The 15,371-nt window shown below is 35.9% G+C and overlaps 1 protein-coding gene across 2 annotated transcripts in view; it reads left to right on the top strand.

The window, feature by feature from the left end:
* Positions 1 to 14,934, top strand: part of LRP12 (LDL receptor related protein 12) — a 100,023-nt gene extending 85,089 nt beyond the window's left edge. For both annotated transcript variants that reach the window (NM_001135703.3, NM_013437.5), the window contains 4 exons: positions 4,651 to 4,853; positions 6,094 to 7,198; positions 8,961 to 9,093; positions 12,631 to 14,934. In NM_001135703.3, the coding sequence (NP_001129175.1) occupies positions 4,651 to 4,853; positions 6,094 to 7,198; positions 8,961 to 9,093; positions 12,631 to 13,497 (2,308 nt within the window). In that variant the 3' untranslated portion in view covers positions 13,498 to 14,934. The remainder of the gene's footprint in view (positions 1 to 4,650; positions 4,854 to 6,093; positions 7,199 to 8,960; positions 9,094 to 12,630) is intronic.
* Positions 14,935 to 15,371: the final 437 nt, after the last annotated feature.

Raw genomic sequence — 15,371 nt, 5'->3', positions numbered from 1 at the left:
GTTTTATGTTAATACTTTTATACAAGTAGATGAATTGGATTATTTTTTAGAAAATTTATATTACTAAAATTGATTCAAGAAGAATTAGAAAACGGATGAAATCAGTAGCCATTGAAGAAATTGAATCAGCATTCAAATTAAGACTCTAGAACTAGTTTTATAGGCAAGTTTTACTAAATGAATAGAAAAGGAATTTCCTTAACCTGGTAAAGGGTGTCTGTTTAAAAATTTTCAAAAGCAAATTTAATGTCAAAGTTAATTATAGCACCAAGGACCAAGACAAAAATGTGTGCTTTTACTGGTTATAGTAGAATTCTTAGTGAATGCAACAGTGCAACAGATAGAAATCAGTGATATAAAGAAAATAGGAAGGAAGAGAAAACCTTTATTTGCTAATTATATGTTTGTTTTAAGCAGTCTAAAGCAAACTTAAAGATCACAGATAGGAAAAAATGTCTTTAAATTGTATGAAAGTACTGTGTACAGAGCTTTGTAGTAATAAATTTTACTATCAACATAAGATCAATTTCTAAGAAAATTTAAATGGTCAAAAGTTTAAGAAACACTGATTAAACCAAAAAACATCAAGAAATTGAAACTCTCTCCCTGACTCAATATATTCTAAATAGGCACAGAGCACAAATATGTCAACAGTGCTTTTATTACACAAAGTACTATGAAGCATTTAAAAAACCAAAAAGTAATTTTACTTATTTAAAAATCCTAAATGAATTAGCAAACTAAAATAGGGTATACATGAACAGATATTTATTGTTTCTTATTCTAAACAAGGTTTCTGCCTTCATGAATCTTTTTTTTTTTTTTTTTTTTTTTTTTTTTTGAGAGACACAGTCTCGCTTTGTCACCCAGGCTGGAGTGCAGTGGCGCCATCTTGGCTCACTGCAACCTTTGCCTCCCGGGTTCAAGCAGTTCTCCCGCCTCAGCCTCCCGAGTAGCTGGGATTACAGGTGTGTAAAAACTAAAACTCTGAAATGCTTAAAAAATAGTTGAACATCTTTGGGATCTTTGGAAACACCAAGATAGCTTAGAGAGGACACTAAATGCACTAAACATAAAGCAAAAATAAAAAATTAGACTTCATCAAGACTAAAATTAAAAACCACGCCCAACTAATTTTTGTATTTTTAGTAGAGATAGGGTTTCACCTTGTTGGCCAGGTTGGTCTCGAACTTCTGACCTCAGGTGATCCACCCACCTCAGCCTCCCAAAGTTCTGGGATTACGGCGTGAGCCACCTCTCCCAGCCTTTGCCTTCATGAATCTTAAATGTTTAGTGGACTAAAAGTTTATTAAGGGATTCCCTAGTTTGAATGGGACTAGACCTCCCATAAACAAGAGCTATTAAGTTTGGATAAGATATTTTAAAACCAAACTAGGGATTCCCTAGTTTGAATGGGACTAGACCTCCCATAAACAAGAGCTATTAAGTTTGGAAAAGATATTTGAAGGCTCTGGAGAGTAATAAAAAACTGGCAAAAACTGGAGAGTATTCCACCCCTGAAAGAAGGAACCACACTTCGTGAGATAGGCTTGTTTCCTACCAGTTCTCTGAAGATTCTTGCCAGTCTGTGCAACGTGGAGTGACTGGAACTCAAGCAGATCACCGTGGTCTTGTCAGCTTGAGGTGTCAGGATGCAGTTGAGGATGGGACAGTAACTGGAAATTAATAAGGTAACTCCTGGAAAGGAGAGAACCACAAGCTGGAAAGTAACTGCATTTAAATTATTCTCGAATCCTTAGCTGACCCATGAATTGTGTGTGCTTAAAGAAGACTCCAAGGAACCTGCTGGAAAGTAACAGCAGGAAGGCTGAAGATTTCAGCTGCTGCACCCCACAGCAGAGGCAGCATGTGGAGTTTGAATCCTGTCCATCACAGGGGAGACCGAGTATAGGGCTTCATAAATAAATGCCTTGAGATTTTTAATGAAACTCTGTGTGTCATACTTTACAAGTAAAGACAGTGTCCTTAAACTAAGAATTCCCCCTAAGACTAAGGGCAAAGCAGAAACAAACTCACTTTAAACAAGTGTAAAACCAAACCTCCTCAAGTTCATAGTCATCAGACTAATTTAACTGTGTGATAGAACAAAAATTAGTATCTTCTATGTTCTAGATAAATGTAAGAAAGAAGAATCTCATTTTCTACTTGAAAACACGAAAATTTATATAAATCTCAGCTATAAATGTAAAAACTAAAACTCTGAAATACTTAAAAAGTAGTTGAACATCGTTGAGATCTTTGGAAACACCAAGATATCTTAGGACAACAAATGCACTAAACACAAAGCAAAAATAACAAATTAGACTTAATGAAGACTAAAATTTAAAACTTCTGCTTATTAAAAGGTTCCATTAAGAAAATGAAAAGACAAACCACAGGCTGGAAGAAAATATTAGCAATACACATGTCTAACAAAGGACTTGAATCCATTTTTTTTTTTTTTTTGAGGTGGAGTCTTGCTCTGTCGCCCAGGCTGGGGTGCAGTGGTGCGATCTTAGCTCACTACAACCTCCACCTCCCAAGTTCAAGCAGTTCTTCTGCCTCAGCCTCCCGAGTAGCTGGGACTACAAGCATGCACCACCACACCCAGCTAATTTTTGTATTTTCAGTAGAGACGGGGTTTCACCATTTTGGTTGGCCAGGCTGGTCTCGAACTCCTGACCTCAAGTGATCTGCCCACCTCAGCCTCCCAAAGTTCTAGGATTACAGGTGTGAGCCACCATGCCCGGCCAAGAATATAAAAGGGATTTTTATAACTTTTTTTTTTTAATGGGCAAAAGACATGAACAGATACTTCACAGAAGATATAAAAATGGCCAATAATCACATGAAAAGATGTTCAGCAAATTTGTCTTCAGGGAAGTGTACATAAAACCACAATAAGAGATCACACCCGTCAGTGACTAAAATGAAAAAGACTGACCACACTGACTATTGGAGAGAAAGAATGTGGATGTAGGTGGATATGACATGTCTCACATAACATACATGCCCCCGAATAAGCTCATGTTTATAATATGTAGAGTTCTTAAGAAATATTAATGAATAAAGGAGGCAATTTGGAAAACAAGGCAATTTGGAGTAAAAGAAATAGAAATAACCCAAAAATTGGAAAAGGATTTCAATCTCAGTAAATAAAGACATGCTAAATAGAAGTGATAAATCTCTTTTGTCTACCTAATTGGCAAAACATTTTTAAAAATAGAATATGTCATTTTGCTAAACGTGTGGGGTATATGGTACTTTGGTACATACTTGGTAGAACTGTAAATTCGTATAAACATGTTTTTCCAGTGTCTGTCAGATTTAAAGAGGAATTATTCTTCTGACCTAGCAATACTAGTTCTAGAATAGTTTGTCCTAGAGAAATTCTTGTTCTTGTAAGAGAGATACGTACATGTATAAGGGTTTTGTTTTGTTTGGTTTTGTTTGGTTTTGTTTTGTTTGAGACGGAGTCTCACTCTGTTGCCCAGGTTGGAGTGCAGTGGCACAGTCTCGGCTTACTGCAAACTCTGTCTCCCAGGTTCAAGAGATTCTCCTGCCTCAGCCTCCCGAGTAGCTGGGATTACAGGCACATACCATCATGCCCGGCTAATTTTTGTATTCTTAGTAGAGACGGGGTTTCATCATGGCCAGGCTGGTCTCAAACTCCTGACTTCGTGATCCGCCCACCTCAGCGTCCCAAAGTGCTGGGATTACAGGCGTGAGCCACCATGCCCGGCCAGGAGTTTTTAAAGCATAGTTCATAATAGTGCAAACCTGGAAACAATCAAATTGTCTATCAGCTTTTGTTAGTTATTCAGAATATTTGAAGAAGAAACATTCTGGTATAATAATCCTTGGGTAATTAACTTTATTATCACTTAGTTTAAGGCAAAGGCAAGAATATAAAGTCAGATCTTTACTTTTTGGTGAGGCATATTCAGATATTGTAAAACTGTATTTTGGTTTCTCTTTTTTCATAAGCAGTGACTAATTTTCTGTGTGCATTTATTTATTTGATGTTTTTGGCCTATACTTATGCCCACATTTTATTAACTACAAGATAGTATTTGGCTATAAAGTGATTTATGTAAAAAAGTATTCCCAAACTCAAGGACTTTTCACCAAAAACATTTTTCGTGTGTTCCTTTTTCAGTCTTTTACCTTGCTCAGATTTGTGCTAATTACTCTCCTAAGAATGTCAGCTGCAAACTTTTCATTAAGCAGGTATTAATCTAAGAGAAGGCTGAGTTTCTCTGTGTTTACTTCAATTCATCAGATTGGGGAGAGGTGATTCTGGTTGGAACACAGAACAGTTTAGGATGTTCTGAGTTAGAAGTGGTCTTTCCCAACCGTACACACAGAGAAGAAAAAGAAAAGGTGCCAACTGTCACCTGTTTTTTAACATTATTTTGGAACCTAGCATTACTTGTGAAGAATTATTTTTCTACAATCTGGGGAAGAAATACAAATATGAGGAACATAGAATTAGTATTATTATTTGCTAATGATACGGTTGTATGCCTAGAAAACCCAGGAGAATCAGTCAGTATATGGAGGCTTATAATAATATCCTCAGTTACTTTGTAATACGATTTTTTTTTCCAAAATTGACTTTTTAATAGACATTTCTGATTTTTTTTTCAGTTTTCAGGATTTTGATATTCAAGGATCCAGAAGGTGCAATTTGGACTGGTTGACAATAGAAACATACAAGAATATTGAAAGTTACAGAGCTTGTGGTTCCACAATTCCACCTCCGTATATCTCTTCACAAGACCACATCTGGATTAGGTTTCATTCGGATGACAACATCTCTAGAAAGGGTTTCAGACTGGCATATTTTTCAGGTGTGTTTTTAAATAAGAAAGATATTGAACTGAATTTTATGGTATTAACTGCTCTGTCACTTCGGAGCTAATCTTCTAAGTAGTGTTCATTTAATTAGGAGTAGGCCCTTGAGGCAGCTGAGATTGAGGATTAGAAGCTAAAGTTAGATGCCCTAAAGCTGGGTCTCCAAAAGGTGTTTTGTATAATTCTAACAAAATGATTAACTTCATATACTAAGGTTAATTTTCTTTTTAAACATCTTAAATACATTTATTCTAAGAATAGCCTTTTCTCCCTCAAGTGCTTACGCATATCCAGAAAGTTACTTCAGAATGTATTTTTGTGGTAATTGTCATTGTTTTTATACCTCCAGAGAAAAGACCTAACAAATTTCACCTTCATAGTTTATAGTCTCAGAAAAAACGACATCTTTTCTTTTCTTAAATTGTGTCTAAAAAACAAGACCAGATCATACAAATGTGAATAATTCAGAATTAGTCCTCTCTTTTAGATCAAAATGCAAGATCTTCATGGAATAATAATAAGTATTTAACAAATTGAATTGTTGAGTAAGCATGCCAGTACTAATTTGTCATTAGAACCCAACCTGTTAAATCATTCCATTTATAAAGATACATACACACATACGTTGATTGCAGCACTATTCTCAATAGCAAAGAGATGGAATCAAACCAAATGCCCATCAATGATAGACTGGGTAAAGAAAATGTTGGTACATATACACCATGGAATACTATGCAGCCATAAAAAGGAGCGAGATCATGTCCTTTGCTGGAAGCTGGATGGATGGATGAAGCTGGAAGCCATTATCCTCAGCAAAATAACACAGGAACAGAAAACCAAACACTGCATGTTCTCACTTATAAGTGGGACCTGAACAATGAGAACACATGGACACAGGCCCCAGATTTATTGTGGCCTTTCTAGGGAGGGTGGGGTGGGAGGGAGAGCATTAGGGAAAAGACCTAATGCATACTGGACTTAATACCTAGGTGATGGATTGATGGGTGCAGCAAACCACCATGGCACATGTTTACTCATGTAACAAACCTGCACATCCTGCACATGTACCCTGGAACTTAAAATTAAAATATTAAAAAACCAACCTGTTTTTTAAAACTTCTAGCACTTGGGCTTTATGAACATTTATTATAAAAATATCACTTGCTGTTTTATGTCTTTTAAAGATTATAATTTTTCTCCTTCTCTTTCCATCTATTTCTACTCACATCTTCACAGGGAAATCTGAGGAACCAAATTGTGCTTGTGATCAGTTTCGTTGTGGTAATGGAAAGTGTATACCAGAAGCCTGGAAATGTAATAACATGGATGAATGTGGAGATAGTTCCGATGAAGAGATCTGTGCCAAAGAAGCAAATCCTCCAACTGCTGCTGCTTTTCAACCCTGTGCTTACAACCAGTTCCAGTGTTTATCCCGTTTTACCAAAGTTTACACTTGCCTCCCCGAATCTTTAAAATGTGATGGGAACATTGACTGCCTTGACCTAGGAGATGAGATAGACTGTGATGTGCCAACATGTGGGCAATGGCTAAAATATTTTTATGGTACTTTTAATTCTCCCAATTATCCAGACTTTTATCCTCCTGGAAGCAATTGCACCTGGTTAATAGACACTGGTGATCACCGTAAAGTCATTTTACGCTTCACTGACTTTAAACTTGATGGTACTGGTTATGGTGATTATGTCAAAATATATGATGGATTAGAGGAGAATCCACACAAGCTTTTGCGTGTGTTGACAGCTTTTGATTCTCATGCACCTCTTACAGTTGTTTCTTCTTCTGGACAGATAAGGGTACATTTTTGTGCTGATAAAGTGAATGCTGCAAGGGGATTTAATGCTACTTACCAAGTAGATGGGTTCTGTTTGCCATGGGAAATACCCTGTGGAGGTAACTGGGGGTGTTATACTGAGCAGCAGCGTTGTGATGGGTATTGGCATTGCCCAAATGGAAGGGATGAAACCAATTGTACCATGTGCCAGAAGGAAGAATTTCCATGTTCCCGAAATGGTGTCTGTTATCCTCGTTCTGATCGCTGCAACTACCAGAATCATTGCCCAAATGGCTCAGATGAAAAAAACTGCTTTTTTTGCCAACCAGGAAATTTCCATTGTAAAAACAATCGTTGTGTGTTTGAAAGTTGGGTGTGTGATTCTCAAGATGACTGTGGTGATGGCAGCGATGAAGAAAATTGCCCAGTAATCGTGCCTACAAGAGTCATCACTGCTGCCGTCATAGGGAGCCTCATCTGTGGCCTGTTACTCGTCATAGCATTGGGATGTACTTGTAAGCTTTATTCTCTGAGAATGTTTGAAAGAAGGTCAGTATCAAGACAGAACTATTGGGCCTCAATAAAAGCAGGCCCAAGTGTTTGAAACAAGTTCTTTGATGATTAGCAATGTATTTTTGTTTTATATTAGTTTAGAAAATGGATAAAGATTGTTGATGATGTATAAAATTAGCGTGAAAAACCCGAGACTCAGAAGGCCAGACACATTACAAACTAAATATTTAGAGTTATGAGAAAAAGCCCATCTATTTACCAGCTCCTGTTTTCAGATTAATCTGTTTTATAGGAATATTGTAAGCTGCAGCTCTCAGTTTTAGTGTTTTAACCTGTATTTTTCTAAATACAAATTCAAAAATTCCAGTTATTCTATATGCTATGTTCAAAGCATACAGGTAAATAGAAAAATGAATAAGGCATAATATCACAAGCAGTTTACAGTTAGGAGGAAGGAATTGGGGCATGGAATAAGATGACAAAAGTATAATACTATAAAGAGCTATGAAACAAAATGGTATAAAGTCAAAAATACGTAATCTAATGAGGGAGAGAGGCAGAAAGGCTTTAATTGGAGGGGTGCCACTTGAAATGTATGAGTAGAAGAATATAGATAGGGGAAAAGGTGTTGTTAAAGCAATAACCTAGGAAAATATATAGAAGTAGGAATGTCCAGCATTGCTCAAAAAGTAAGCACATGATTCAGTTTATCTGGAGCCCAGGATGCGTATGAAGGGCTAACAGGAGATACGATTGGAACACAAGACTAATGTCCTGTTGTAGAGTTAAGTGACAACAGCACTTCAGAGTTCTCAGTTCAGTAAGAAATGGTTAACTGTTAAAGAGTGACCTTCAGAGTGAGTAGTTTTCAGTTTGATGCAGGATAAATGGGACCTGGCAGAAGTTAATGGCAGAGATGTCCCTGTGGAGACAATGACCTTCAGTCCCAGGAGAATTACAAATAATAGATTTAACAACTTTTTACGTAACAGATGGCTAATAGGTGGCACACAGATGCACAGTATCGTAATAACCATTACTGCATCTTTTCTTTTTTTTCCTTTTTTTTTTTTTTGTTGTTTGTTTGGAGACGGGAGTCTTGCTCTGTCACCCGGGCTGGAGTGCACTGGTGCGATCTCAGCTCACTGCACTCCGTCTCCCAGGTTCAAGCGATTCTCCTGCCTCAGCCTCCCAAGTAGCTGTGATTACAGGCGCCCGCCACCACGCCTGGCTAATTTTTTGTATTTTTAGTAGAGACAGGGTTTCACTCTGTTGGCCAGGCTGGTCCCAGACTACTGACCTCGTGATCCACCCGCCTTGGCCTCCCAAACTGCTGGGATTACAGGTGTGAGCCACGGCGCCCGACCACTGCATCTTTGGCCAAGTGTAAATGGCCAGAAAACTTTTTACCACATTGCAACAAAAGAGCACAATGAAGAGTCAAAGATCCCAGCTGGGCGCAGTGGCTTCAACGTATATTCAGTAAATACAGTATTCTTAGGAGTTTTTAAATCTTGTATTATTTCTCCCTTTACCTTTTACAGGGATTTTCATTTATTAAAACTCAGTGATCTAGGCTTCTACTAGCATAAAGCCCTATGAAGACAGACTGCCTGCGTCAGCTTTGTATTCCCACTGTAGGGATAATACATATATTCAGTAAATGTTTGTCAAATGACTAAGCTTTAAAATGATCAAATATGCCAAGACTCAGATTGTTTTAATTACTGATAATAGAAAATTGTTCTTTTTCTTCGCTCCCCCTTTTAATCATTTTTCTTTCCATCTACTCTCAAAGATCATTTGAAACACAGTTGTCAAGAGTGGAAGCAGAATTGTTAAGAAGAGAAGCTCCTCCCTCGTATGGACAATTGATTGCTCAGGGTTTAATTCCACCAGTTGAAGATTTTCCTGTTTGTTCACCTAATCAGGTATATTGCAATGTGTAATTTCTATTACATTTCCTCTTAAAATGAAATCTGCGCCTGTATATATGATAAAGCAAAGACCCTTGACTGTCAGAATTTTTGCAATCAAGGATTTAAATGTATGGAAGATTTGAAGTCATAGTTTTCATTATAGTTTAACACTACAAACTGCAAAAGTATATTTTTCATTCCTCTGATTTGGTTGTGCAATTCTTAAGCATTTTACTGTTTAGGATAATTTAGTGCATTATAATTCAAAAGTATTAAGCTTGGCAAATTATTTTTTACTTGACCTGAACATCTGCAAGATTTAAGAATGAACACTAAAATTAATATGCTAGCAATATAACATGCTAGATTAACCACTTATAAGTAAAAGTAATTAAAATGAAGTTAACATTTCTACCTCAGGAAAAACATCTTCAAGCTGGATTTTACAGTGTTTAACAATTTATAGCATTTTGTTTATATAGTAATTCATTATATGTTTCTGAATTCTTTCAATTTCTTAGCAATTAAAAAAATTTTTCTCGTAGTGCTTAAAAATGTGCCAGTGTTCATTTTAGGCATAAGGATTTATTCATTTAAATTGTAAATTCATTCAGAAACATTTATAAAAACTGTTGTTTCCAGTATTATAATTAAAACTGGTAAACATTGTTTTCCCAGTAATATAATTACTTTCAAAATAGAATACCATCTCCTTTTTGGTAAATGTGAGTTCTGATTACAGTCTATCACCTTATTGGAGTATTTTAGGAAATCTTTGGTGAGAATTTGTAGTTTCAAAACATTTCTCCATATGTAATTTCCTAAGTAAATCATTCAGAAGTTCCACTGTTGGAATTTTGTGTGCAAAGTAGGAAAAACCTAAGTTGTGGCTTCTTTATATCAGCCCTGCTATGGGGAAAGTTTTTTTTTAGGTAAGAATCAGATCACAGTTAATTTTACACACCTACTTCATTCTCTACCACCCACCATGCCTAAACCCCATAAAGTTAGAGAGAACACGGTACACACAAGATTGTCTTCACTCCTAACACCAATTGCAAATTCAAGGAGTTCCCCAAATCCCCTTCAGGTTTGATAATTTACTAGGAACACTCAAAAAACTCACTGAAAGCAGCTCACTTGCGATTACAGTTTATTACAGGGAGAGGATACAGACACAGATTAACCAAGGGAAAAGATGCATAGGACAAAGTTCAGAAGGGTACCAAACATGGACCTTCCAGTTGTCCTTTCCCCATAGAGGCAGGAGGGCATTACTGTGTGAACACAGATATGTGACAATATGCATGGAGTGTTACCAATCAGGAAAGCTCACCCAGGCCTCGGGTGTCCGGAGTTTGTACTGGTGCACTAGCACATAGGCAGGATTAATTGCACATGTGGCCAATCCCAGTTTCTAGCCTTATCCAGAGATTGACTGACCCAAAGCCCTCACCCTACATGACACTGTTGGTGTGGTTCAGAGCTTCCAGTCTAAATCAGTTTTACTATCTGGCTGGTCCAAGGCCCCCAGGCAAAGACACTGCTTTCAGACATGACAGTGGAAGGGCTTGGAGATGATGTACCAAAAGCCAAGGACAGAGGCTTTGGGTGAGGTTAAATTCTTTATTACCTCACACTACCCCAGTTTCTCAGGTTATATGTACCCTCGTGGGAGAATTCTACTTCAACATTTTAGAATAAAATATGTTTATGGGTGGTAAGTTAGATTGTATTCATTTAATGAGATTAAAAACTCTCAAGTTTGAAGCTTTTGGTAACAAATTACCAAATTTTTATAGCAGATTTTGGAAAAAATAAGTAATGATGTAATTCACCATCTCACTCAAAGGAGAAACGCTTTTTGAGGAATGCTTTCTCCTTCATAAACTGAAGAAGTATATGAAATTATTCCTAGAACATTCGTGAGATCCCCTCATAAAATATAATGTTAGATTGCCAATCCTAATTAACTGACTTTTAACTAAATAGAGAGTTTCACCTCAGTATGACAAACCAAATGTTAAAGTCAGCAATAAAGTATGTTGAAGGCATTGTTGATCTTGATGGCTAATAGCAGCACAACAGAGGATAACAGAAGAGCCTTTTGTTCATTGCTGGACATAATAGCATAGTGCTCAACATGAAGCCTTAAAACTTGCATGCTCACTGTTGAGGAGCAGATCTGTGGAGAAGTTCATTATAAATGTGAACCGCTTTTTCTTTTTCTTTTTTTTTTTAATTTGTAGTTAGGTACTTCTTAATTGGTGAAAACTCTTACTCATCTGTATAGCAAATCCATGTGTGCTGATATCCAAATTTCTTATTGACAATCTGTGCCTTACTAATGTTAGACTATGAAATGTTCCTATGATAGTAGCTTCTTATCATAAATTATGTTCATGGCACTATGGAAGGGCCTATATGGAAAGCATAAATAAATGCAATACCAGTCACAAAGAGATACAGAACATAAGAGGACATCTTCCTTATTTTCTACCTTCTTTCTTCTGTGAGGGGAAAGGGAAGAGGTGTGAGTTTTGGCAGGAGATGGTATCATCAACTGAAGGAGAGTATATCAACTTAAGATTGTTTCCTGGAAATACAATTTTTAAATACTAAATGCCAGGTTGGTGAAAGCTGTTTCAAGTTTGAATACTTCTTTTTATAACCACTAGATGGAGCTTAAAGACTATCTTATATAATGCTATATGCTTTTAAAAACAAACTCTAAACTCGTTCATCTAGAAAAAAGAATAGATTTTTTATTCAGTTGGACAACCTTTCATGTACACTAATTACAGCTAACTAGTTTTCAAAGAATGATATATTTATACTTAATACTAAACTATAGAAAATAAAACTTTAAAGATTAAGAAGGAATCTAAATGTCGATACCATTGAGTAATGATATAAACAGGTTCTTTTGTTGTTTCTTGTTGTCTTCGGTGCTGTATTACAAATATAATTCCTTTATTTGTGACAATATAATTAAATCCTCAGTATCCATTCAGCAAATGCTTGAGAACCAACTCTGTGAAATACAATTTTCACATGTTTTGGAAAAGTTAAGCCTTGTAAATTAAATCTAATTTGTTCTTTAAAAAAAAAAAAGATAAAAGTCCTCGTTTTCACAAACTCATTTTGGTCACTTCGTCAATTATGTAGAGATTCTCCTATGTTCCTAGTTACAGAAGTATCAATTTTATTTTCTAGCTTTGGTACACTTTTCATGTTGGATTACGATGTGAGATTTTGAAACAACTGTTATAATTTACATTAAATATCATTTTTAAGTTGCATATATAAAATGGAATATCAAGAAAAGTTTAAACAAACAATGATTCAAGTTAGATTAGTAGATTAGATTCTGTAGTAGGATGAACCCACATAGGTAAGAGAATTTAATTTTTCCTTCTTAGACCCAAAAGCAACAATGAGTAACAGAATTTTTAACCACAACACATTCTTAATAGAAGGGTGTTTTTTTTTTTTTTTATCTTAGTACCTTGTTGTTAACTATCTTAAGATCTTTTCTTATTTTTGTAGGCTTCTGTTTTGGAAAATCTGAGGCTAGCGGTACGATCTCAGCTTGGATTTACTTCAGTCAGGCTTCCTATGGCAGGCAGATCAAGCAACATTTGGAACCGTATTTTTAATTTTGCAAGATCACGTCATTCTGGGTCATTGGCTTTGGTCTCAGCAGATGGAGATGAGGTTGTCCCTAGTCAGAGTACCAGTAGAGAACCTGAGAGAAATCATACTCACAGAAGTTTGTTTTCCGTGGAGTCTGATGATACAGACACAGAAAATGAGAGAAGAGATATGGCAGGAGCATCTGGTGGGGTTGCAGCTCCTTTGCCTCAAAAAGTCCCTCCCACAACGGCAGTAGAAGCGACAGTAGGAGCATGTGCAAGTTCCTCAACTCAGAGTACCCGAGGTGGTCATGCAGATAATGGAAGGGATGTGACAAGTGTGGAACCCCCAAGTGTGAGTCCAGCACGTCACCAGCTTACAAGTGCACTCAGTCGTATGACTCAGGGGCTACGCTGGGTACGTTTTACATTAGGACGATCAAGTTCCCTAAGTCAGAACCAGAGTCCTTTGAGACAACTTGATAATGGGGTAAGTGGAAGAGAAGATGATGATGATGTTGAAATGCTAATTCCAATTTCTGATGGATCTTCAGACTTTGATGTGAATGACTGCTCCAGACCTCTTCTTGATCTTGCCTCAGATCAAGGACAAGGGCTTAGACAACCATATAATGCAACAAATCCTGGAGTAAGGCCAAGTAATCGAGATGGCCCCTGTGAGCGCTGTGGTATTGTCCACACTGCCCAGATACCAGACACTTGCTTAGAAGTAACACTGAAAAACGAAACGAGTGATGATGAGGCTTTGTTACTTTGTTAGGTACGAATCACATAAGGGAGATTGTATACAAGTTGGAGCAATATCCATTTATTATTTTGTAACTTTACAGTTAAACTAGTTTTAGTTTAAAAAGAAAAAATGCAGGGTGATTTCTTATTATTATATGTTAGCCTGCATGGTTAAATTCGACAACTTGTAACTCTATGAACTTAGAGTTTACTATTTTAGCAGCTAAAAATGCATCACATATTCATATTGTTCAATAATGTCCTTTCATTTGTTTCTGATTGTTTTCATCCTGATACTGTAGTTCACTGTAGAAATGTGGCTGCTGAAACTCATTTGATTGTCATTTTTATCTATCCTATGTTAAATGGTTTGTTTTTACAAAATAATACCTTATTTTAATTGAAACGTTTATGCTTTTGCCAACACATCTTGTAACTTAATATACTAGATGTTAAGGTTGTTAATGTACAAAAAAAAAACCCTTATACTCACCTGCGTTTTCATTTGTTTGACATTTGTCTATTATTGGATTTCATTATCATATGAACTTGTCAGTGGGAAACAAACTGTCTAAAAATTTTTCTCTTACGTTTAACATACAATCATGTGAAATTTAGGCAGAGTTCGATAAATTACTGGCAAAAACAAAACTCTTTTATAAAGATTTTCTAATGTTGACTTTAATACTCTAACATGGTACAAACCAAATGGTAAAATCCCAAGTCATTTCTTTTTTCATCTCTATTTAGCAACAGAATTAAGTGGATGAAGATATTCTACTATGCATTAAATCTTGAACTTTATAAAACATGTACAAAAATTGTACAAGATAAGTTCCACCTGGTAATGTCTTTCCCTAATACAGGGTTGCGCTTGCATTGGACCCTAGGGATTTGCACTAAAATTATATCAAGGTCTCAGATGAGCTTAGTGCACAAGCACTATCACTTTAAATACTATTATTTGCTACCACAGCAACTATATATTTCCATAGCTTTTGGCTGGGGGCGGGGGACATTTTTATTACAACTTGAAATTGCTTTGCTGGTTTCATATTTATTTGTTGTATTTAAAAAATACATTGTTGTAAGAGTGATTTTTTCAATATATTTTATTCCTGGGGGGGATCATGCTACACTCTCAAAAGAAAATTAAGAAATCATTCAGATCATCCCCCCTTTTTAAGTAGTGTGAATTGCAAAACCCAACATATTTTTTTTACTGTCAGTTGCGGTTTATTTATTCTTTAACTGTCTGTTTTAGTAGTTTAATGATTATGAAAAATGTATCTGTGTGTGATTTGCTATTTATTAAATTTTAAGTACTTTGCTGAATGTCATTTTAAAGCATGTTTGAAGTCTTGTGTATTTGTCTGTGTTAATGCTGTCAGGAGGAACTGACTAAGATGTTTTAATATGTATCAAAAATTAAAATGATTTTTTTTATTGCCTTGAGGTACTTTTTAAATCAAAGCTGTTCTTTATTTGTTGAATTTTGGTGCATATACAAATTCAGGCCATAAAATATGCAATATATCTAGAATAAAAATGATTAGAAGGAGATCATTCCTTAACTACTTTATAGTAAAGTAGTAGCTTTTACCAGTACTCGAGGGTAAAATTTTCTAAGGACTTGAATATTATTTTGCTTGAGATTGCCCTTCAATTGATGTATCTCACAAGATGAGAGAGTTTAATTGATTAAACTGCCTTTTAATTGACGTATCTCACAAGATGCAGTAACACAATCAGTTCTCTTTTTAAATTGTTTTCACATACATTTTAGACCCCTATAATATATTCTACTGGCAGAATTTGGGTTACCAAATAATCTTTTATGCCCTAGTACTAATATATTATCAAGTACAAGGGTTTTGGTTTTCTAGCATATGTTTTAATTTATTA

The sequence above is a fragment of the Homo sapiens genome, chromosome 8 (assembly GCF_000001405.40).
Source record: "Homo sapiens chromosome 8, GRCh38.p14 Primary Assembly".
NCBI classification, from domain to species: domain Eukaryota; kingdom Metazoa; phylum Chordata; class Mammalia; order Primates; family Hominidae; genus Homo; species Homo sapiens.
Note: the sequence above shows the minus strand (reverse complement) of the source record. Positions and strands in the feature narration are given on the sequence as shown.